This window comes from Homo sapiens, chromosome 15 (genome assembly GCF_000001405.40).
Source record: "Homo sapiens chromosome 15, GRCh38.p14 Primary Assembly".
In the NCBI taxonomy this organism is placed as follows: Eukaryota; Metazoa; Chordata; class Mammalia; order Primates; family Hominidae; genus Homo; species Homo sapiens.
In genome coordinates, this window is record NC_000015.10 from 52,581,112 (window position 1) to 52,605,757 (window position 24,646).

Here is a 24,646-nt window from a genome sequence, read left to right on the forward strand (position 1 = left end):
TGAGCACAAACATCTAAAAACCACCCTGTTCTTTCCAAGGGTGTTGGAAGACAGATTTCTGATGCACTTAGTGATAAATTGGGAACAAGACTCAAGACATCTTCCCCCTCCCTCTTTGCAGCTGTAGAGCTAGAATGAAAATGTCTAATGGCTAATTCACTCAATCACATAAATGTCTCATCTACAAATAAAAGCCAAGTACACGTTTCTTAGTTTTTTTTGAATATATTTACAATATAAATACTAATTTGTTTCCAAAGTACATATTCTTTTAACAATTTGAGAAAATTATCTAGCATACGACAGTAATTTAATGTAAAGACTCTATAGTAGTGATTAAGGAAAAATAGAACTGTTTTGGGGATAAGGAATCCTGGCTATGAATGGGCATGATGATCTGAACTTGCAAAGGGAAAGTGAAGCAGCTTAGTCCACATTGCACTGCTAATACAATATGTTAAAGGACTACTATGTGAGATAGCAACCTGGATATGGTGTTATAAAAACTAAACATGAGAGATATAAAAAGTACACATGCTTGCATAGTGTGTTACTTTTAAAGAAGCTCAACATTTTATTCTCATTTTCAATAACTTAAATGAACAGCACTTAACACATTACACAAAATTAAAGACTTGTGCATATATTTGATTTCAACATTAATGTCAAAAATACATAGTATGATTTTACATAGGATTTGTGCTACATTAGAACACTAGAGACAAACATCACTTGAGTATTAAGGAAAACATTAAATATTAAATAACTGAGAAAATGTGTAAACACTAATCTAACTGGGGGTTTTGCTATTGCAACATGTCCAATGAAGTGGTTTCAACAGTACAAAAAGGATTAGGACATGAGTTTTTCCAGTCTACATGGAATATATGGATTTCATTTCAGGAATCCTTTCATAAAAACTGGTCCAGGATAACAGGAGAGAATCCACTCTCCTGATTGTTAATTTGGTACACTCCATTCTATGCTAATTTTTACTTGCAAACTTGGGTACTGAGTAAATACTTTAAATCATCACTCCTTATCAACATCTTGGTGAAAACTGAGGGTTTGTTGGTGATTCAGTGTAAGATTTGAGTTCATATGCAGCACCGCTATCAACCTCCATTGACTTTCTAGAGAACAGGAGCCGTACGTCTCTATGGAGGTAGATCTTTCCAGATTTAGAACTCTGGAACCTAAACAAATAAACAAAATATAAAACATTTCAGAGAACGAGTCTTTAAAAGAAACTAGAATAATTAAAATTTGAAAGTAGGAAGAACAAATCTTGCTACAATATTAGGTCAACACTAACTCTTTAACATGATATTTAAGATCTTTCTAAAGACCAAAGCATATGCTTTTATTTAAATGCTGCTCTCTTACCATTCCCTAAATAACTCATACTCCTTTTCCTTCCCTCAGTGCCTGAGATGCTTCTTCCTGTAAATCTGAGTGTCAAATAAATCTTACTTTTCCTCCCTGACTCCACAGTACATGCACCTTTCCTCATCTGCAGGTTCACGTGGCAGTTCACTCACATTACTCAATAACATTACATTTGGGCTCTGTAGCCCTGGCATCTTCTAGCTCCATAGACTGACCCATTTCACACAGCTTAGCCTCCCATGATTTGGGGTAGATGATAAAAAACTGCTATAATCAGCAGTGGCTAGGCTAAGTAAAACCCAGCCACCATCAAAAGTCAAGAGAAAAGTTAGCAGTAAAATGAAAATGGCTATCAAAACTGTATATGAAACTGTTTCTATCCACTGCTAATATCTGTAATACAGTGCAGGGATTTGGAATCTTCACTCACATTAACTTACCTACCAAACAGACAAACATACCCTGTAGTGCTAATTTCTCTTTGTTTTTCCCTTGGCATAGCATAAATACTCTCTGGGTTTGTGGATTTTACTCCTGAACTAGCTGAAAGATGTGGTGGTTACAGCTCTGTATGTTAAAACAGACTGGCTCTGACTGGCTCACTCTTCCCTCCTTTCTGAAGTTTTTCACCTTCCCAAACTGAAGGAGAACATTCTTTGGGAAGTGTACAGTTTTCCCCAAAAAGGTTTCTTTAAAGTATCCTGTCATTATGTGGAGATTATAAAAGCTAAGGTGGCTGATTTTTACTCTGGCCAGTATTGGTTTTGGTTACAAATAGCTATGGTTGTTAAACTTCAAGAGGAATGCTGTCAAATGCAAGTTTAACCAGAGAGGGTTGAATCTTTTTCTAGTTTGGTAGGTATTCTTATAGTCTGCTATTTCATACCATGTCATTCATTCATTCATTCATTCATTCATTCATGTGAGAGTCTTGCTCCTTTGCCCAGGCTGGAGTGCAGTGGTACAATCTCAGCTCCCAGGTTCAAGTGATTCTCCTGCCTCAGCTTCCTGAGGAGCTGGGATTACAGGTGTCCACCACCACGCCTGGCTAATTTTTGTATTTTTAGTAGAGATGGGGTTTCACCATGTTGGCCAGGCTGGTCTTGAGCTCCTGACCTCAGGTGATCCACCCACCTCGGCCTCCCAGAGTGCTGGGATTATAGGTGTGAGCCACCGTGCCCGGCTATACCATGTCTTTTAAAAAAAGTTTTCCAAGTCTGTTTTTCATAGATTTTTCATTCCCACAATCTGTGTAACATTTCCCATGTGGCTTACATCAGGTAGTGTCAGATTTGGTTGAAATACATTGTGCTGGCTGAACACGTCTTTTGCATACAGAACAGGCAGAAGACTGAGATGAAAGAACTAATTAAATAGAGCTTTGGGGAGAATAATTAACGGACTTTCATGTATGGGACTTGAGTGTACAGCTCACTGCTTATTCACTCCAGAACACCACTGCAAGGCATATATAAAGAAAGATAGCAGGTGGTCCCCATCAGCAATAACAGATTGAAGAAGTCTTCTGCCTGGACCCGAGATGAAAGGTGACTCCTCCTGATGAACAGAGTGAGACTCCGTCTCAAGAAGAAAAAAAAAAAAAAAAAAAAGAAAAATATAAAATGATTTATATGGCTCATATTACTTTTTTTTTTTTTTTTGAGATGGAGTCTCATTCTTGTCACCCAGGCTGGAGTCCAATGGTGTGATCTCAGCTCACTGCAACCTCCACCTCCCGGGTTCAAGCAATTCTCCTGCCTCAGCTTGAGTAGCTGGGATTACAGGCTCCCACCACCATGCCCAGGTAATTTTTGTATTTTTAGTAGAGACAGGGTTTCACTATGTTGGCCAGGTTGGTCTCAAACTCCTGAAGGTGATTGGCCCACCTTGGCCTCCCAAAGTGCTGGAATTACAAGGTGTGAGCCACTGTGCCCGGCCCTCGTATTACATTTTTAAATAGTATTCGTTTAGAAAATGTGTTTCACTGCCCCAGATGCATGTGTTTTGGCATAAAATATTTTATATTAAACAGCTATAAATGAAAACTTCCCTAATTCAACAAGTAATGACCACCACAGGAAGGTATGCCATGTACTTTCGGCATCTTGGCACATCATCAAGAGTTCCCAAGCTAAGCAAAGTCCCAAGGGACACTGGTCTAGTTAGAGTCACAGTTTAAAAAAAAAAACTAAAAATTTTAGAGTTGTTCTAAAGTAACATTTTCATATTAATTTGAAGCATTACCTCAGATGTATGAGGTAGCGTAATAACCGTTCTTCTGTGTGTCGGATGTTCTCTTTATTAACACTTCTCTTCACTTCTTGTTTAACAGGTACAGAAAAAGTTCTTTGTCGTAGGAATGTCTGATGATTGGCTGGCATATCTCGTAAATCATATATCACAACAAACATCTTCACCACAGTCTTATTAGGATTAAATAAGGTCTGAAGAAACAATATAGAAATTATTCTTTAAAAATAGTGATTTGTTGATGTGATTCAGAATGATTGTGCCAATAATCAAACAAGATTTTAAACAACAAGGTAATACCACTGAATATAATTCAGTTTCAAGGACTAAAATTAACACAATTTCAAAAGTTTAAGAAATAATATTATTTTTTAAAAGGTTCAATTTTTTGTTTTACAATAATATAAGGTCCAATAACAAATCAAAATCTTTAGTCACAAATTTCATATATATAAATTTTACTCCTTGTTCAGAGGAGCAACTTTAAGGAATAGTTCCAGTAGCTTAAGCAAAATACATCCTTATTGGGTTAAAATATTCCAGTTCAATTATTTCAAACATAATAGCTTTGCTAAAGAGTATCAAGTTCAAACTTCTCAAAATTGAGTTTTAATTTTTCTCACATTTTAATAGCAAACAGAATATTTCAAATAAAAATACAAGCTCTGTAAAATTAGCATGTTTGATGTCTTAGGTACATATGATTATTATAAAATTTAAAATAGGTGCTCAAAGAAGAGACTTTTTCCTATCTGAACATTTCCCCAAGTTTAGAAAACAAAGCTCACTATTATTAATTAATTAGATCTAAAGTAGGCTAATACTTCATTTACTCATACATGGAATCATTTCAAAATTTGTAGCAACACTAGCCCTTAAAAAATTCTCAATATTATTATAGACCAAAATATGTATCCTGGTAAAGACTGAATTAAATTCAATTGTTGCTTGGTTATGAATAATTGAAGGAATATTATTTTTAAAGTACTCGTTTTGAAACAAAACCCCAAGCTGCTGATCTGACTTTAACCAAATTACCAACACATCAATAGGTAACTTGGTACCCATGCTTTCAGAAGCTCATCCGTGGCACTGGACATCACTCACTGAATCAAAATGAGAAATATATCAATATCATAATCCAGTTTTTGAAATCTAGTGAGTCTTAAGATTAAGGCTAATACATTCAACAACCACACCTCATAAGCCAGGAGTTCAAATCATGTTTATACACAGTTAAACTGTATACAGAATAGAAGACATATAATTAACCACTAAAGCTGGCAGTCTCCAAACAAGAGGTGAATGTGTTACCTCCGAGTTTATGATTCATTATTATCACAACTGACAGCTAGCTTTCCACTGACCCACACTTTCTCATGAGCTGCATAGCCGAAGGCAAGAGAACACTGTCACTCCTTTACTTCAAGAAATCGGTTTACTTGTGGTATTCTTGTGGTAATTCCTCCTCAAACTTATATAAATATTACTATATATGTGTGTATATATATATATACACACACGTACACATGTTACATACTTCTGTTTCATTCCTGTGTGATATGAAATAAACAAATATACAGATTCCTTGCAGTATTGGAACAATGATGATGAGTAAAAGTGATCTGACAAAGTACTGAACACACTGAGGTCAAAGGTCATACAAAGGCTTGTTGGATTAGATCAAATCCTGGGTATGAGGAGCAAGCCTTAGCTAGACTCTCTTTCAGTCTGCAAACTCTGTAATAGATTTGAGGGCTTGCAGGATTACGCTGGGTCAGATCTAGAGTTAACTCAATTTCAAGCTGGCCTTAATATCAGATTATTCTTCTGAGAACCCTAGACCAGGGATGATGAAGGACTGTTCTGAGACAGCAGGACTCTCCTGAGCCAAAAGAGATCAATGCCTAGACCAAAAGGAATGATGCCTTCTCTGCCCTGACATCTGTCAGACTATATTTCTGCTTTGTGTGGTCATCTCATTAAATCAATTTTAGAAATTATTAGAAATAAAATAATTTTGTTTCCCAAGTTTTCCTGTGAAAGCAATTCTAATATTTGGGGTCTCCTTTTAAACAGGTTCGTCTCAATTTGGTTTATTAAAAAGAAGGCACCAGTAATATTAGGTTCTAAATATGTATTGAAGAGTCCTATTGAAGTTATGCAAACTGTCATATGCTATTTTTCTTAAGTATTCACCTTGATTAGCTTATTAATGCTTTCCTTTTATGGAGGTCCCCAAATGGTCATTCCTGGGGCAGAGCAGGGGAACTCCAAACAAAGCTGCAGCCCCACTGTTACTTACCAAAGTTGTTGCAGCAGCAGTAGCAGGAGAAAGGGCTAAGTTCTATATGTATGTGAGAGAATGATTATTGCAATTGTAGGCTATAAAACACATACCACTTGTATTGTTCCTGAAGGAGGTACTCGATAACCCCTTTTACCAAGGGACTCTAAAGTAATCACACCCTTGAAATAAAAGAAGACAAATTGAGTACAAACTGATGCATATGTACATAAAAGACTAAAATAAGAATAACTCATGTAATTTATTAAAATTTCAGAATTCTATTTCTATGGAAAAACATTCATATTGAATTAATAGAGATACATTCTATGTTTCTACCCCTAAGGAAACATTTTACTGTTCCTCCTGGTGATGTCGCTATAAAGAATATATAACATCAATGGCCACAGCACTCAAAATTACTATTAAGATATAGGAATAAAAGAAAGAAGTTCCTAACTAAAAAGGAAATAAAGGAAGGTAATAGGACCCTTCCCATGTATCTTGAGGGAGAGGGGAAATGAAGAAGCAAGTAATTTATTGGTCTTCGGGCATGTAAAAAGTCACAAGTGTAGGAAAGTAAGCCTTGGCCAAAAATAAAGTCAATTCTTCAGTCTGGGAGTTAAGTTACATATCTGGATTTCTGAATAAAGACAGGAAAAAAAATAGAAAAGCAATTTGGAAGTCTGTAGTTCCTGCCTGGTACTACTTTATGGGATAAGAGATGTTTAAGACAAAAAGTGAAAAATGAAAGTTAAATCAGTAACTTTAAGGCTGTGGAATGTTCTATAGTAAAGCTATAAAATCTCACTTTCCTAAAATTAAATATTTCTTCAGAAACAACTTTATATCATGTTGTGTCTTAATCTGGATATTATTAAGGTATTTTGATTTTGTTTGGTCATTTACTTATTAAGGAATCTAAGAATCCAAATTGATTCTAAATCAGAACACAATGGATTGAGAGCTGATTTGAGTCAAGGTTAAAGCTAAATTAGGGTCATGTCACTAGAGAAGTCTAAAAGAGGATATCAGGAGTCCTCCAGTTAGTTTGGTACTCAAAGAATGATCCTCAGATGAGCATCATCAGCATCACTTGTGAACTCGTTAGGAATGTGAAATGTCTGGCCTCTTCCCAGACCTTACAAAGTCAAATATACATTTTAACAAGATTCTCCAGATTATATCAATTTACATTAAGGTTTGGGAGCCCTGCTCTACTATATGAAGTAGTTTTTCTCAGGATGTTCTCCTTACTGCAAAAATGCAATCAATGGGGAAAAAGTGTATGTTAAAACAAGGTAAGTTCAAATTGAATGTGTAAAAGTTTCTCAATAACCAGGATGATCAATAACCAGGATAACCAAATGACTATCAGTGGTAATTGTGATACTTAATTATTATTATTATTATTATTTTGAGATGCTTTCTCACTCTGTCACCAGGGCTGGAGTGCAGTGGCACAATCTTGGCTCACTGCAACCCTTGCCTCCCGGGTTCAAGCGATTCTTCTGTCTCAGCCTCCCAAGTAGCTGGGACTACAGGAACTCACCACCACGCCCAGCTAATTTTTGTATTTTTAGTAGAGATGGTTGGGGGCAGGGGCGGTGGTTCTACCATGTTGTCCAGGCTTCGACCTCCTGACCTCAGGTGATCCACCCGCCTCTGCCACCCAAAGTGCTGGGATGACAGGCGTGAGCCATCGTGCCCAGGCTGTGATACTTAAAGAGCTTTAAAAAATGAATGCTGATGCATTTACGTTAACTGGGCTAATACTTTTCTTTCAAGTAGTTAAGGAGAACTGTATGTTCTACATTTCATGATTTCATTATTATACATTGTACATGCCAAACTTATGTAAAAGCAAATATAAAACAGCACTGTTCTATCAGGTGACGTCTCTCTGTTGGGTTCGGAAGTTGGACCAGGGTTAGGAAGTAAAAAGGAGTGGATAAAGGTAAAAGGGAAAGCCACATTCTGACATATGAATTTACTCCAAGTGAACAACACTTGACATCAGATTATTAAATTAACACATTAAGGTTAACACATACGTGGTTCTTGACAAATCAGATTTGTCATATGGTTATTTAAAGCATGAAAAAAGCACATCAACAAACTGCAACCCTAACCAAAACAGCAATGAAACTTTAACAATTTATCTCTTACAATCTGCCCTACGTGCCTAATGAGGTACTCTGTATACCACTTTTTTTTAAATGAGCAGAGTGTGGCTATTTACTCTACATGAAAAAGATATGGTATATTATACATGTTTTCTTCCTAGTTTCAGAAAGAAAAAGTAAAATATACCTAAATAATAGCTATCTTTAAAATCACATAACTACACGTAATATATTACCGTTCTTCCTTGCCAGCCATCTGCCTCCCCACCAAATACATACAGTAAAACTGGTAAGGCAACTACTACCAAGTTTATACTTGTTTCCTTTAATACATTCAATTCCAATAGTTTTTAGAACACAGTAACTAAATCAATTTATTTAAAAAAACAGCTTTTTGAAAAAAACCATAAAGTTGAAGGCAACAATTTAAAACAATTTGTAAGCAATGTTAAGACTAGTAGCATTGGCAAGTTAGGAATTTTAGAAAGGGACTGGGAAATTATTTGGAATTTTATTATTCATCATTATTGTAATAATTTCATCATTTTAATTGATCAGCATATTAATATTTATACCTAGAAAAAGTTACCATATTTAACACAAAAGAGAAAAACACATTTTCTTCTGGCATTTTTTTTTTTTGAGATGGAGCCTTGTTCTGTCATCCAGACTGGAGTGCAGTGACACGATCTTGGCTCAGTGCAACCTCTGCCTCCTGGGTTCAAGCCATTCTCATGCCTCAGCCTCCCGAGTAGCTGGGATTATAGGCGCCCACCATCACGCCCAGCTAATTTTTGTGCTTTTAGTAGAGACGGGGTTTTACCATGTTGGCCAGGCTGGTCTTGAACTCCTGACCTCAAGTTATCCGCCTGCCCCAGCCTCCCAAAGTGCTGGGATTACAGGTGTGAGCCACCATGCCCGGCCCTTCTTCTGGGATTTTAAAATGGAATAGTAGGGTTAAAATAAATATGCTCAAAATCTTATACAAAAATTGCTCAGATTATTATGGAATAGGGAATATGCACAAGTAAGTGGAAAACTGAAAGAACTATATCTTGATCTGGTTAATTACAAAGAAAGGAAATCATACGTGGCCCTAATATTATAATGAAAGTCTTATTAGAAATTTGCCACTGGCACACCTGCCTTAGATATTTCTGCCTGGTTTCACACTGCAACCGTTTCTAAACAGCTAAGTGTTGTCATATAACACTTGGAGAACATTTTTACCACTGACTCCCAACCGGAGAATAATATTATATGGCTTTGAGTTAATCTTTAAGGGAATTATTTAATGAGAAGTCCTATACCACCTCTATACCACAAAGATAGGATTTTCTGTGCTAAAATTTTACCCTTGTGAGTCATTTGTATAATCTGTGATAAGAGGTCCCAAAATTATTATTAGAGTAACAAGGTTATTATAAGAGTAACAAGTGTTTTATGTCTTCGCTCTGCTGGTCTGTGATATGTATAGTCTTACCAAAACATAATCACATTCTTTGAAAACAGATTCAACTACAAAAATAAAGAGAATATTCCCTGAGGAACAAAATTAATTCATAGCAGGAAAGACTGGAACTGGGTCACTTGCAAAAAGAATGCATTCCTGGTAAGTAAACTTTTAATAGAAAAATACAGACTATTTTTTGAAAATGTTCTAATTTTTTCATAGGAAAAATATAAATGGGATAGTTGACTCAAGAATGTTATCAGAGAAAAGAAAGTCAGAGTTTCTCAAAAGCATAGATTAAATTCAGTAACCTGATTTATACCCTTGCCAATACCTATTTAACAATCTGCAATCATCTGCGTGTACATCTCTAGTACTTTCTGGAGTGACAAAATCTTTTATCTCCCAATCCTTCATTTTTGAGATATCAACTAAGGTGAAAGATTAATGCTGTCTTGCTTTTTAAAAGCATAGTTCAAGTTACCTCTTGCTCATTAATTTCCATCAAAGATATTTATTTGAGCTGATTTTCAGCCAGTTTACTCTTTTATCTTGTTTCCAAGCCATCCTAATGGCCAACAGGGACTCTGTTCACTAATGATAGATCACAGTATTTTATTTTATTTATTTTGAGATGGAGTTTTGCTCTTGTCGCCCAGGCTGCAGTGCAATGACGCGATCTCGGCTCACTGCAACCTCTGCCTCCCGGGTTCAAGCGATTCTCCTGCCTTAGCCTCTTGAGTAGCTGGGATTACAGGCGTGTGCCACCATGCTCGGCTAATTTTTTGTATTATTAGTAGAGACAGGGTTTCATCATGTTGGCTAGGCTGGTCTTGAACTCTTGGCCTCAGGCGATCTGCCAGCTTCAGGTGATCTGTCCGCCCCAGCCTCCCAAAGTGCTGGGATTCAGATATGAGCCACTGTGCCTGGCCAGATCACAGTATTTGAGACCTTATCTTTCCATCCTCTATTACTATATGCCAGTAAAAGGTGTGAAACTGATCAGATTCTTGATGTCCTGGTAAGGCAAAACAGGCTGTTGCTATATTCTCATATTGTAAGCATTCGAGTATAATATGCATTTATTCTGGTATTAAACTTATCTCAGTGGTACTTTCCATTTTATTAAGTGTCCAAAATTAGCAGTTATTTTTTCAAAATAATTCTGGAAAAGTGGGTACATCTTTCTATGGTAAATGAACAGGTAGCATATGTAATAACTGGGCAGGTTTGTGAAGGGGGCCTCTTCTTTCGATAATAACCTATGCTGGGCATCTTCATGCTTATGACCCACAGATGTGAACGTTGTTGGGAAAAGAAAACTTTGAATAAATAAGCAGTCACCACTCTGCTTTTTCTATCAAAGTGTCAAACACTAATCAAGCTCTTGACTAAAATCTTCACCCTTAGAATGGAGTAAGCTTTCCTTGAAGAAACTGGGCCAGTAATGAGTAGGCCACATATAGGTTCCTAAAAGTAGCTTCCTTTCCTCTCTGTTGTTTCTCAATTGTATAGATGTCCCTTTTTACAGCTTTTATTAATGACAAAAGTCATTGTTACTAATGTCCTTGAAAACCTAGAAGGTTGTGGAGAGGGGTGTTAGGAGAGGAAGCAGTTGGGCCAGATAGTAAGTTAGGAAATTCAAGCAGCAAGACTAGGCTATAATGTTCAATGCCTACAGTAATCTGCATTTCTCAAAAGTAACACCTAAAATGAAAACCCAGATTTGACTCCATATTTGATACCATCACTGTCAACTTTTTACAGACCTGCATGGCTAGCTACTTGTCTCTCTTTGTCTTTTGGAAGAGGGCTGATACTAATCATATACTAGTACTCAGTATTGTTTTTGCAAATGAATGCTTATATTATCCACAAGCCATTGGAATAAAAAAATTGGAAAGGTGAAATCATAAGATTGATCTTAAGGCTCAACACTATAACTCAGAGGTGTCCAATCTTTTGGCTTCCCTGGGCCACACTGGTAGAAGAATTGTCTTGGGCCACACATAAAATATACTAACACTAACAATAGCTGATGAGCTAAAAAACAAAAATCACACAAAAAAATCTCATAATGTTTTAAGAATGTTTACAAATTTGTGTTGGGTTACATTCAAAGCCTTCCTGGGTTGCATGTGGGCTGTAGGCCGGACAAGCTTGCTGTAACTCCTCTTAGTTATTTCACTCTCCATTAAGACATTAGCGTGAGTCTGAAGTAGCTAGTATCCTAAAGAACTCTAGGATTAGGCCAGTTGTGGTGGCTCATGCCTGTAATCCCAACACTTGGAAGGCCAAAGTGGGAGGTCTGCTTGAGGCCAGGAGTTCAAGACCAGCCTGGGCAATATAGGGAGGCCCTGCCTCTACAAAACATAAAAATTAGCTAGGCATGGTGGCGCATATCTGTAGACCCAGCTATTTAGGAGCTCCAAGGCAAGAGGATGGTTTGAGGCCAGAAGTTTGAGGCTACAGTGGGCTATGACTGCACCACTGCATTCCAGCCTAGGCAAGAGAGTGAGATGCTGTCAAAAAAAAAAAAGAACCCTAGGATTAGAAAAAAATAGGCCCAAAGACAAACCAAACCGAAAAGGGAGTAAAAGGGCCATACAGAAGCCTTATGTCACCAAAGCCTTGTAGGACTAGAGGACACAGTGCACACTAAGCATTTGAGAATGTGTGTGAACTCAGCAAGATGGAATTACAGTGTCACTAATCAATTTTTATCATTTTTTCAAGACAAAGAGAAATAAGTACATTTTTAGTACCATCCTTAAATGCAAAAGAGGTTATCTGTTGTTTGAACTAGCTTAGAAAGAAGTTGTGAGGTAATATTTTGGCATATTAGTTTGTATTCAGCTGTTAGGAAATGATTTATATTTTCAAGTACTGCATCAAAGCACTTAAATTTGTCATTAAGTTGGTTGATTTGGCAGGAAAACATACAATATAAAAAATACTTGCCATATAAGGAGAGGGAGCATTGTCATCTGAAACACTGTAGAATGACACTTCAACTGGAAGAGTCAAATGTGTGGGGCAGAAAGCACCACTTGCCCCTACCTCGGCAGTAAAACCATCAACAATGCCGAGAGGATCGAAACGATAGTTCAAGACAGATTCCTGGAAGACAAAATAATTTTAAAAACTCAATTAAAAAAGCTAACACATTCATTTTTTTTCTATTTAAAGAAATATACACTTAGTCTAAAGGCAGAGAAGTGATTAAAAGAAATATATTACTATGCTTTCTAGCACTAGAACAGTGGTTGTTACCATTGCCATGTCCTTATTTCTGCTTTTCATCTGACTTGAAGTCAACTGCATCTCCCATCAGTCTTCTACCATCCTACAACAGTTTGGTCTTCTCTCACTATTCCAACTCACACTGAACTCTCCTGCAACTTCAGCATTAGTTAGGCCTAATTGTTTACTATGTTGTTTTTATATCTGTAAATTTAAAAATATGCTCTATCAGAGCAGGTATTTATCCCTCACAGTGCCTATTCATGGTGCTAGACACAGAGAAACACCTGAAAACCTAACAGGTTATATATGGAAGTTCCATCAAAAGATGAAGTCAAGCACTTATAATTCTAACCGAGAAATAATTGCTTCTCTTATAAATACTGTAGTATGTGATATGTTTTAGTTTAAAACATAAAAATGTGCATTTATAAAAAGTTTAGAAGTACAGAAATAGTACAGAAGCTCCTTATCCATCCCTCCCCCAAGGTCACTCACTGAGATAACTACTTTTAAAATTTAGTGGTTATTTTCCCACTTATGAGAAACATTTAAAACTTTTCACAAGCTTTATTTTATATAAATATATCAACACATATATGTATACATCATGAAATGTGAGTAGCATTCCTTTGATTAATTCTTTGAAAAGAAATGCTACAAAGCCTCATGATTCTAAAAGTTTGTGTAGTCTAAATGTGAAACAGTGACATATCAGCAATTCTAATCTCCTGATCAAAAAGATAAAGCCAAAAGACCTGGGTCACAATCAACCTTCTATATCTCCTTTTTGCCCTCTAATCAATCCAATCCATATCCTGTTGATTTTACCTCTCAGTCTCAGGGCCTCATTTCCATCCCCACTACTACCACTATCCTAGTGACCTAGGTGATCCTCATAACCTCTCCTCTGAATAAATGCTACATCTTCTAATTAGTCTTTCCATCTGTAGTGTATCCTCTGTACTACTGCCAGAGTTCTTTTTCTTTTTTTGAAAAAAGCCTTATAGTATCACCTACCACTTAAAAACTTTGTTTCCTGCTGTCTATAGGATGAGGTCAACATTCATAGCACAGCACTTAAGCTCCACCATGCCTCTCATTTCATCTCTCCCAACATATACAGAGTCCCATGCTCTAGCTCCAGTTGATCCTTTCCAACATTGCCATGCTCTTTTACGTTTGCACATGAAGTTCCCTTTGTCTAGAATCTCTGATTCCTGAACAAATTTACCTGGCAAATTCCTTCTCATCTTTTGTGACCAAGCTCAAATGACAGCTCCTCAGTAAAGCTTTCCTCAATCCTTTTAGCAGAGATAGTAGATACACAAGTACTAGGCAACTTCTATTACAATGCTAATTACTTGAGTTTATAAATTATTTACTCACCTGGGTAAATTATATGCCCACCTTCTCCAGTAGACAATAAACGTCTCTAAGGCAGGAACTTTATCATTTAAACTTTGTATTCCTAGCACATAGTAAGTACTCAACAAATATTTCCCAAATAAAAAGTCTATTCTGAAGGTGCAAAAAATTTTCATAGGAGAGGTACATACAAAAATGTTTATGGATTAAGGCAAATGACCAATATTAGTTGCTGACTTTATCTGAGATATTTTAGATTTTTGTAAATTTAATATACAAGCATATATGCTAGGCCCCACTCAGTGCAGTATGACAAGAAAAAAAAAAAAGGCACGAAAATAAAAAAGCCAAAACTATCCCTATTTATAGATGACAAGACTGTCTATGTAGAAAAATCCCAAGGATTATTTTTTAAAATCTACTGAAATTAGTGAGTGAGTTGAGCAAGATCACTGGCGATTTTTTGTAGATAACACACACACACATACATTCATTTAAAAATACTAGCAATGAACAATTGACAATTAATTTTTAAGTTACAATATCCCAGAAAACATGAAATACTTAGGTATACATCTACAAAAAGATATCAAAAATCTGGGCTAGGCGTGGTGGCTTACACTTGTAATCCCAGCAGTTTGGGAGACTGAGGTGAGTAGACTGCTTGAGGCCAGGAGTTTACGAAAAGCCTGTGCAAACACAGCAGGGCCCTATTTCTACAAAAATTTTTTAAAAAATTAGCTGGGTGTGGTGGTACAAGCGTAGAGTCCTAGCTACTTGGGAGGCTGAGGTGGGATGAATGCTTCAACCCAGGAGATCCAGGCTGCAGTGAGGTATGATCACGCAGCTACACTCCAGCCTGGGTGACAGAGAAAAGTCCCTACCCCTATTAAAAATAAAAAAGATGTCCAAGATATGCATGCTAAAAACTATAAAACACTGATGAAACAAATAAAAGAATATATAAATAAATGAATTTCAGGGATTGAAAGACTTTATATTTTTAAGATGTCAATTTTCCTCCAATCGACCTGTATTAATGTAGGCCAAACAAAATCTCAGCAGGCTATTTTGTGGAAATAGACAAGATGATTCTAAAATTTATATGAAAAGATAAAGGAGCTAGAATAGTTTAAGCAATTCTGAGAAAGAACAATAAAGTTAGGACTCACATTACCTGATTTCAAGACTAGAAAATTGAACATCCATATGCGTAAAAGGGAACCTTGATCGCACACCTCCTATCATGTAAAAATTAACTCAAAATAGATCACAGATCTAAACGTATGAGCTAATACAAACTTTCAGAAGAAAACAGAAAAAAAGCTTTGTGACCTTGGGTTGGGCCAGTGGTTCTCACCCAGGGGATATATGGTAATATATGAAGACATTTTTGGTTGCTAGAACTAGGCATGGGGGTACTATTGGAATCAAGTGGGTAGAGGCCAGAGATTCTGCTAAACATCCCACAATGCACAAACAGCCCTTCAGAAGAATTATCTAACTCAAATATCAACAGTATTAGTGTAAAGAAGCCTTGGGCTAGGCAATGTTTTTTTAGATTCAACATCAAAAGTAAGATTCATAAAGAAAATTCGACATCAAAAAACTTAAAATCTTTTACTCTTGTAAAGACACTATCACAAAAATGTACAGCCAAACTTCAGACTTGGAAAAAATATTTGGAAAACATATATGCTTATTTGGCAAGTAAGTGCAGGAAAAGAGGATCAACATCAATAGTCATCAGGGAAATACAAATTAAAACCACAATAATTAAGATGAAAATGACTGATCAGTGCAAACAATGGCAAGGATGTGGAAGAACTAGAACTCTCATACGATGCTGATGCAAATTAAAATGGTATAATCACTTTGGAAAATAGCTTGGCAGTTTCTTAACAGTTAAACTATTCTATTTTATTCTGTTCTGTTCTGTTCTATTCTATTCTATTCTATTCTATTCTATTCTATTCTATTCTATTCTATTCTATTCTATTCTATTCTATTCTATTCTATTCTCTATTCTATTCTGTTCTATTCTAATGTAGTTACCCAAGTGAAATGAAAATTTATGTCCACATAAAAATTCATACACAAATGTTTATAGCAGCTTTATTTTTAATAACCCCGAAGTGGTGACAACCCAAATGTCTAAAATCAGGTGAATGAATAAACAAACTGTGGTCTATCCATACAACAGTAATAAAAACGAATGAACTCTTGATATGCAGGACAACATGGATTATCTTAAAAACAATGACACTCACTTAAATAAATCCCCAAGCCACCCCCTAAGAGTAAATACTGTGTGACTACATTTATATAAAATTATAGAATATACAAGCTATTTTACAGTGACAGAAAGCACTAAGATTCCCTCATATAGGAAAAATAACTCATTTCCAATGGTTGTATTATGCTGGACTGAACTGAATGAAGAAAATCACAGGACAGATGAATTGAATGGATGATGACAAGGTTTTGCAGTAGAAAACTCTAAATCAGGGGTGTCCAATCTTTTGGCTTCCCTGGGCCACACTGGAAGAAGAATTGTCTTGGGGCATATGTAAAATGTGAATTGTCTTGGGCCACATGTAAAATATACTAATATTGGCTAGGCGTGGTGGCTTATGCCTGTAATCCCAGCACTTTGGGAGGCCGAGGCAGGTGGATCACCTGAGTTCAAGAGTTTGAGACCAGCCTGACCAGCATGGTGAAACTCGTCTCTACTGAAAATACAAAAATTAGCTGGGCATGGTGGCGCGCTCCTGTAATCCCAGTTACTTGGGAGGCTGAGGCAGGAGAACTGCTTGAACCCAGGAGGCGGAGGTTGCAGTGAGCCAAGGTTGCACCATTGCACTCAGACCTGGGGAACAGAGTGAGACTCTGTCTCAAAACAAACAAACAAACAAACAAACAAAAATATATATGTAGATATATATAGATACTTACATATACACACTCATTAACAATAGCTGATGAGCTTAAAAAAATCACAAAAAAAATCTAACAACATTTTAAGAAAGTTTACGAATTTGTGTTGGGCTGCATTCAAAGCTGTCCTGGGCCGCAGGCTGGACAAGCTTGCTCTAAATGGTGGCAAGAAAAGGTGACTATTAGCTATTAGACTATTTGGGTGTTATTCTGTGTCCATGTGTTTCCAGACTCCACCTAATGCCCCACAAATAATGTCTAAGGATCATGATTTCCCCCAACAACATTACAGGGATAAGACTTTGCCCTGTTTTCATTAAACAAGTCTAATGTGTCATTTTAGTGACTCAAGTCTAACCCCATCTTTTATTGCACAGAATGTCAAATTCACTAAGCAGAGGAAATATCTTCTGTAATTTACTGAAGAAAACATCAAATTCATTATAAATAAGACCTATGGGTTGGATAGTCTCAGAACATCTCTATTTCTTAAGTCACTTGGAAAATGTATGTATATCTGCACAAATAGAATCGTCTGAAAAAAACTGTGTACTGATCTTTAACTATCTTCCCTGACATGGTTTGCATATTGTCCCCTTCAAATCTCATGTTGAAATGTAATCCCCAAAATTGAAGGTGGGGCCTGGTAGGAGGTATTTCGGTCATGGAGGTGGATCTTTCACAAATAGCTTGGTTCTGTCCTTGCAACAGTAGGTTCTTACGAGATCCGGTTGTTTAAAAGCATATGGCACCTCCCTCCTTGCTCTCTTGTTCCTGCTCTCACCATATGATGTGCCTGCTCCCACTTTGCCTACCACTATAAGTAAAAGCTCCCTGAGGCCTCATCAGAAGCAGATGCCAGCACCATGCTTCATGTAAAGCCTGCAGAACTGTGAGCCAATTAAACCTCTTTTCTTTATAAATTATCCAGCCTCTGGCCTTTCTTTATAGCAATGCAAAAACAGTCTAATACATTCCCTTTTCCAAAGTTTTGACATATCAGACTGCTCTCTTTTTCACTTATACATTTTTTGTAGTACATGTCTCAAAAGGAGCAAGAAAAATAATTTCTTGTAGTACAAAGGTTGCTGAGCCACCCGACCCTAACAATGGCCTATGCAATTTTAATTTGATGACAAAGAGGAATAGAGAGCTTGACATCTCTGAACTGATACCTTGGAATTGACATGGAAAAGACTTACCATGAAATATCTTTTCATTTCCACTAAGACTGTGAAAGATAGCTTCACTATTAAAATAGTTATAAAGCAAATGGTTAATATATCAAAACACAACTCCTGTAAAACTATTTATCTTAAAAATATAAAATTTTAATTATTTTCTCCTAAAAAACTCACCAGTTAAAATCACTTTAAAAATGTCATTTACAAGTTCGTGTTTAAGGTTAAGCTGATTTCTAATTACAGACAATTGAAACCCATGATTTCTACTTGACCCCAAGTAGAAATATTGTGAGTAAACATATCAGAAATCTTTATTTGAATTTTTAAAAAATAACCTTGTTACTTTAGAATAGCTGCAGATTTACAAAAAAGTTGCAAATAAAGTACAGAAAACCTTTTGGTTTTGCAAATCAACTTCCCTGATTATGAGGGGGCTGCTATTAGCCCACCACTATTTTCTCTGGGTCCTAGACCCAATTTTACCAAGTAAGAAGATGTGGTCAAATCTATGCTCCCGGCTTAAGTAACAGATTCCTCAATCCAACCTGATTTCATCAGGTCTTCTCTTCTCCACTACCAGCTATCCAATTCTAAGACATCACTGCCAACAATTCTGATTTCCCTTCTTGTGAAAATAAAATAAAAAGGTAATTTCAAGGCTTGAAAAAAGACAATTATTTCTTTCCTTTTCACAACCAAAGTTAAAGACATATAAAATGACACCCTAGAACCTAGGGTATAAAATTTTCATTTAAAGAACAGTTTCAAAGCACATTACCTCAAAATTTCCTAGGAGACTAAGACTTGTTATAGGTGGAGCACTAGAACTCAAAAATGGTTTTTCATGAATATCTGGATCATCTTCAATGTTTAAACATGGTCGAGGACTATTAGAAAAACAAATCAGCAAAAGAACACATTAGCCACAATACTTTTTTTTTTAATCTTGAGACAGGGTCTCACTCTGTCACCCAGGCGGGAGTACAGTGGCACCATCATAGCTCATACAGCTCAAACTCCTGGCTTCAGGCAATCCTCCTGCCTCAGCCTCCCAAAGTGCTGGAGACTACAGGTGTGAGTCACCAAGCCAAGGCACAATATTATTTACTTTTGTACAAAATTAAGAAAATCTGAACTCTACTCAAACTACCATAATAAATTAATGTTATCAAATTTTAAAATATAAAATTTCAAGTTTTAAATTCCCAGATTTTATCTTTCTTTATATTTTATATTTTATAAACACACATACACACATCCTAAAAGGTTTCGAGGTGGAATTTAGAACATATCACATAGTGGCATCTACTGGAAATAAATAATAATGCAGACTTCTATATCAATCTTATTTTCAGTTAAGAATGAGAATACAAGGGCAAAATTGTGTGACTAAAGATTATAATCAGAGTATTATTTGCCAACACGGAAAAAAATGGCCAAGGTTGTTTTTTTTTTTTCCGTCAAAGAGTAAAAGGTAGTAGAGGTTAATAACTAGAAATATATAAAACCACTTAAAACCAATGTAAGAGTTTATTATGATGACCACTATATAGTTGCTACTCATTGCCTTAATTTCTTCCACACTCATCCTTAATAACTGCGTGTGTACATGGTATCATACTCTAAATAAGATTCCTGTTACAATTCTGATGTTTAGAATCAACATTATTTATTGTTAAAGACCAGAATTTTGTGAAATTCTGTTTGAAACACACAAATGAATTTTGAGATAAATACCTTCTAGATGAGAAGCTTTTCAGATGTAGTAATGAAGAATCCAGATCAAAGCAACCTGATTGTGTTTTTCTTTGAGGAACCTAAGGTCAAAACGATCATTTGTGATATTAAAAAAAAAACTGTTAATTTTTTTCTTGAATTGATAAAACACTTTTTAAATGAAATTTAAGCATATCTTTGAAATATTACAACTTCTCCTATAATAGCTTATTTAAAATCATGCTGTTCATTACATATTGTTCTTATGTTATTTTATTAGTGTTGAAAAAACAGATGACAAATAAAAGCACTTTTACTAGGTTTTGATTTTTTAAGAAGCAGAAACATTTTTTTCCAAAACCAAACCCTGCATGGAATTCCAATATATAATATAAGGAACATTTTGCTTTTTTGTATACTTCTCTATTTTTTTGGGAGGTGGGAAACACTTCCAACTTAAAAAGGAAAAAAAAAAAAAAAAGAAAACCGAATAGAGATAGGAGCCTGAGGCCCCACCAGCACTGCCCACGCTTTGCCCATTCCACCTACTGCAACATTTCCAAGCATCCTAATGCTTTACAGAGAATAGATTTGAAAAGTACTATGCTCCTAGGTTTTCAACCATCACTGTATACCAGATTACATTTAAAGCAAAACACCACCTAGCTCAAAATATCCTAAAATCAAAGACCTAAATGTTAATTAAAGGTAAAATCATATACAAGTTAGACAGTTTTGTTTCTAGAATATTAAATATGTGTACCTGACTCTCTGGTCTAATTAGTGACTGAAGAAACAGATGACACTGAAAATTTAAACCACCTCGACATTTTGGAGAGTTGTACAAGTGTACCATGTTATTTACTGTAGTAAGAACTTATTGTGAAATTTTCAATCTAAACCCTCATGTCTTCAATTCTGGAAAGTTCTCTGCCTTCATTTCTAATATTGCATTTTCTTATTCTATTTAGTCCTTCTTTTTAAACTTCTACCAGACTTACATTGAACATCTCATTCTCTTTATGGCTTTTTCGTATTTTACTATTTCTCTTCCCTTTTGTGCTTCATTCTAGGTGCTTCCTAAATATTTGTCTACTCACTCACAAAATCTCTATTGAGCCGATCCTAGTTTGCTGTTTAATTCATCTGTATGTGTATGCATGTGTGTGTATACACTTCATGCATTTTTCATATCTAGAATTTCTATTTAGTTCAAATCCACATTCTTTCATCTAAATTCCCTATCTTTGCCTTCATCTATCTCCCAGAATACTTTAAACAGTTATTTTTAACTCTCAAATTGCTCTGATAACAGAGTTCCTATATGTGCATCCTCCCATTTCTTGCTCCTGCTGATTCTTTTAAGGTGCTTTGTAATTTTTTTTCCTCTAAGGTCATCTTCAGTAAGACGTATTTGCTATAAAAATAAATCCTCACTGCCCTGGGTTATAGATGTGGGATAGTTTCATGTTTCCCCTACTAATACTAGATGGATTTCATGGGTTCCAATTTAGTTTTTATGGCTATTTCTTAGCTAGACATCTCTGAATCTCATAGGTAGTATAAATTCAGAACCCCTACCATGTGTGGCTTAGATTTAGGTACAATTTCTTTCAGGTGCTTCTTTTTCTCCCATGTACTACTCCACCCGAGTAAATAGATGGATACATTTTCCCCCTCTCTCATTTATAGAAGGCCAGTCTTCCCTGTGCCTGGCTTTATGAAGAATCTGGTCTCAGATAAGATTGTTACAGACTTGCAGCCTTGATTCCTGTTCTCAGCAGGGGAACTGAACCCTAGTGCTATTTTAGGTTCAAATATCCTAGCGGACCAAAATTTGCCCCAGGTTACACCTTGGGAATTTTTCTTTCTTGCTCTTACATAACATTATGCATTTGGAAGTTATACTTCTTCCAGAATCTCTGTGTGGGGGAAGGGGCAAATGTCTTCCTGTATTGACTTAGTCTACCATATTGACCAGAAGTCTGTGGTGCTTTTTACACCAGCAAGACGCTGAAAATTTCTTCCCTGATCACTTGGGCATTTTAAATCACCTCTTAGGTAGGTCAAACATTTGGAGTTTTTATTTTAAAATGGACAAAAAAAATCTGAACAGACGTTTCTCAAAAGACAATATGCAAATGGCCAACAGATATATGAAAAAATGCTCAACACCACTAATCAGAGAAATGCAAATTAAAACCATAATGAGATGTTGTCTCACTCCAGTTACAATGACTTCTATCCAAAAGACAGGCAATAACGGATGCTGGCAACGATGGAACAAAAGGGAAACCCTCATACACTGTTAGTGGGAATGTAAATTAGTACAGCTACTGTGGAGAAGACTATGGAAGTTCCTCAAAAAACTAAAAATAGAACTACTATATGACCCAGCAATCCCACTGCTGGGCATATATCTTAAGGAAAAAAAAGGGAAATTAGTATATTAAAGAGATAGCTGCACTCCAATGTTTAGTGCAGCACCATTTGCAACAGCCAAGATATGGAAGCAACCTAAGTGTCCATCAATAGATGAATGAAGAAAATGTAGTATATACACAATGGAATATTATTCAGCCATAAGAGGAATGAAATCCTGTCATTTGCAACAATATGAATGAAACTGAAGGACATTATGCTAAGTGAAATAGGCCAGGCAAGAAAGACAAATATTCCATGTTCTCACTCATATGGGGGAGCTTAACAAACACATTTGAACTAATGAAGATAAAGGGTATAAGGATGGTTGCCAGAGGCTTGGAAGAGTTGTGAGGAGGGAGGGATAAAGTGGGAATGGTTAATGGGTTCAAAAACACTGTTGGACACAATGAATAAGATCTAGTATTTGGTAGCAAAACAGGGTGACTAAAGTTAACAATAATTTATCGTATATTTAAAAGTAAGAGTGAAATAGGAAGGTTCCTAACACAAAGAAATGATAAAGCCTTGAAGTGATAGATAATCCATTTACTCCGATTTGATTATTACACATTGTATGCCTGTATCAAAACATCACACGTACCCTGTAAATATATACAACTATTATGTACCCATAAGAATTTGAAAAAACATGGCCGGGCGCCGTGGCCCACGCCTGTAATCCCAGCACTTTGGGAGGCGGAGGCGGGCGGATCACGAGGTCAAGAGATCGAGAACATCCTGGCTAACACGGTGAAACCCCGTCTCTACTAAAAATACAAAAAACAACAAAATCCATTTGGAATTTTTTAAAGTTGTTTGGACTTCAACTTTTCTAAAATAGAAGACTGAGCTCCAAGTTATACATTTAAATTCTACATCTATTGTTCAATAATTATTTTTTGAACATACGCGAGATACTGTATTCTTTTAGTTACTAAAAAACACATACAACTAAAAATACGTTTGTGGCAAATTACACGGATTTTTAGTTCTGCTATACAATTTACTGCTTGCCTCAAGTTTAACTGAAATGGTAGCCATACCAACTAACTACTGACTGCTTACATGCAAGAGGGATGATACTAACCATCCTCACAACACTAAGGTAGACATTATCATCCTGATTTACATATGAGGAAACTGAGACTCCAAGAGATTGTGTTGCATAACTAGGGGGAATTCAGTGTGACTCCAAAGTGATGCTTTTAACCACTGCACTCAGATCTCTAAATCTATTAGTAATTGAGGAGTGGAGAGATTTATATGTCTCAAGATGATTAAGTGAAGGGATTCCAAATCAAAAACAGCAATAGTTTTAACTTGCAGATGACCCAGTTAGTGGTATCAGTAAGACACAAATCCACTTGATGGTTTTTGTTTTTTTCACATCTAGTAACAGTTACAATTTGAGGCAAAAGAATTTCAGATAAATTTTATAACTAATAAATTTCATTTTTATTCACATTTTTGTCTTTTCCTGTATTATCACATAGCTGTAAAATGTGTTATCAAAAAATAAAATGTTTCCTTACTGGAAATTTAAAGATATTTAAATTTTTTTCAATTAAAATTTGAATGAAATTATTTGTAAACCTTTCAGATGTATGTAAGTTCTAAGCATGAGATAAGAAAAAAAATGCTTACAGGGCTTGAAAGAAGAGGCAATCCAGTTTGAGGATGAAAGGCTCTGGTTGAAGTTCCATCCAAGGAATGAAAATTATGTTTTCGCCACACATTTGAATGTTTCAGTGTAGTCCTCTGTTAGGAAAATAATTAGATGTTAATTGTAATATTTAAATACCATTTAAAGAACTTGGACAGTGTTTTTGTTTTTAGACTCATTCCTAATACATTCTGAGGTATTGCTGGTGAAGCTGGTGATATACAGGTGGGATATCCCTTATCCAAAATACTTGGGGACTAGAAGTGTTTAGAAGTTTGGATTTTTTTTCTGATTTTGGAGTATTTGCATCATATATACTTTACTGGTTAATCACCCCAAATGCAAAAATCCCAAATCTGAAACATTCCGATGAAAATTTCCTTTGAGCACCTTGTCAGCAATCAAAAAGTTTGGGATTTTCGAACATTTCAAATTTGGGATGCTCAAACTGTGTATCTACATCTTATGTTTACACACAATATATATATACCAATTGGAAAACAATGTCTAAAATGGTTACTGTAATATGCTGAATAAATTAAGTTCTAAAGAAAACATGTCCAAATGTAAATGCTTTATATGGTCATATTTGTTCAGAATTTATCA

At 35.8% G+C, this 24,646-nt stretch overlaps 1 protein-coding gene across 32 annotated transcripts in view; it reads right to left on the bottom strand.

The window, feature by feature from the left end:
• Positions 1-209: 209 nt before the first annotated feature.
• The window catches only part of ATOSA (atos homolog A), a 128,495-nt gene continuing 104,058 nt past the window's right edge, over positions 210-24,646 (bottom strand). For 15 of the 32 annotated variants that reach the window (NR_169536.1, NR_169547.1, NM_001385013.1 and 12 more), the window contains 7 exons: positions 24,022-24,135; positions 19,975-20,054; positions 19,016-19,124; positions 12,467-12,625; positions 6,040-6,108; positions 3,634-3,833; positions 210-1,196 (listed from right to left, as the gene is read on the bottom strand). Coding sequence is in view for 21 of the 32 variants with exons in the window: in NM_001385013.1 (NP_001371942.1) it covers positions 1,043-1,196; positions 3,634-3,833; positions 6,040-6,108; positions 12,467-12,625; positions 19,016-19,124; positions 19,975-20,054; positions 24,022-24,135 (885 nt within the window). In the remaining 11 variants the exon portion in view is untranslated. Of the gene's footprint in view, positions 1,197-3,633; positions 3,834-5,944; positions 6,109-12,466; positions 12,626-19,015; positions 19,125-19,974; positions 20,055-24,021; positions 24,136-24,646 lie in introns of all 32 variants that reach the window. The other 17 variants (XM_047432861.1, XM_047432863.1, XM_047432862.1 and 14 more) reach the window with 7 other exon arrangements.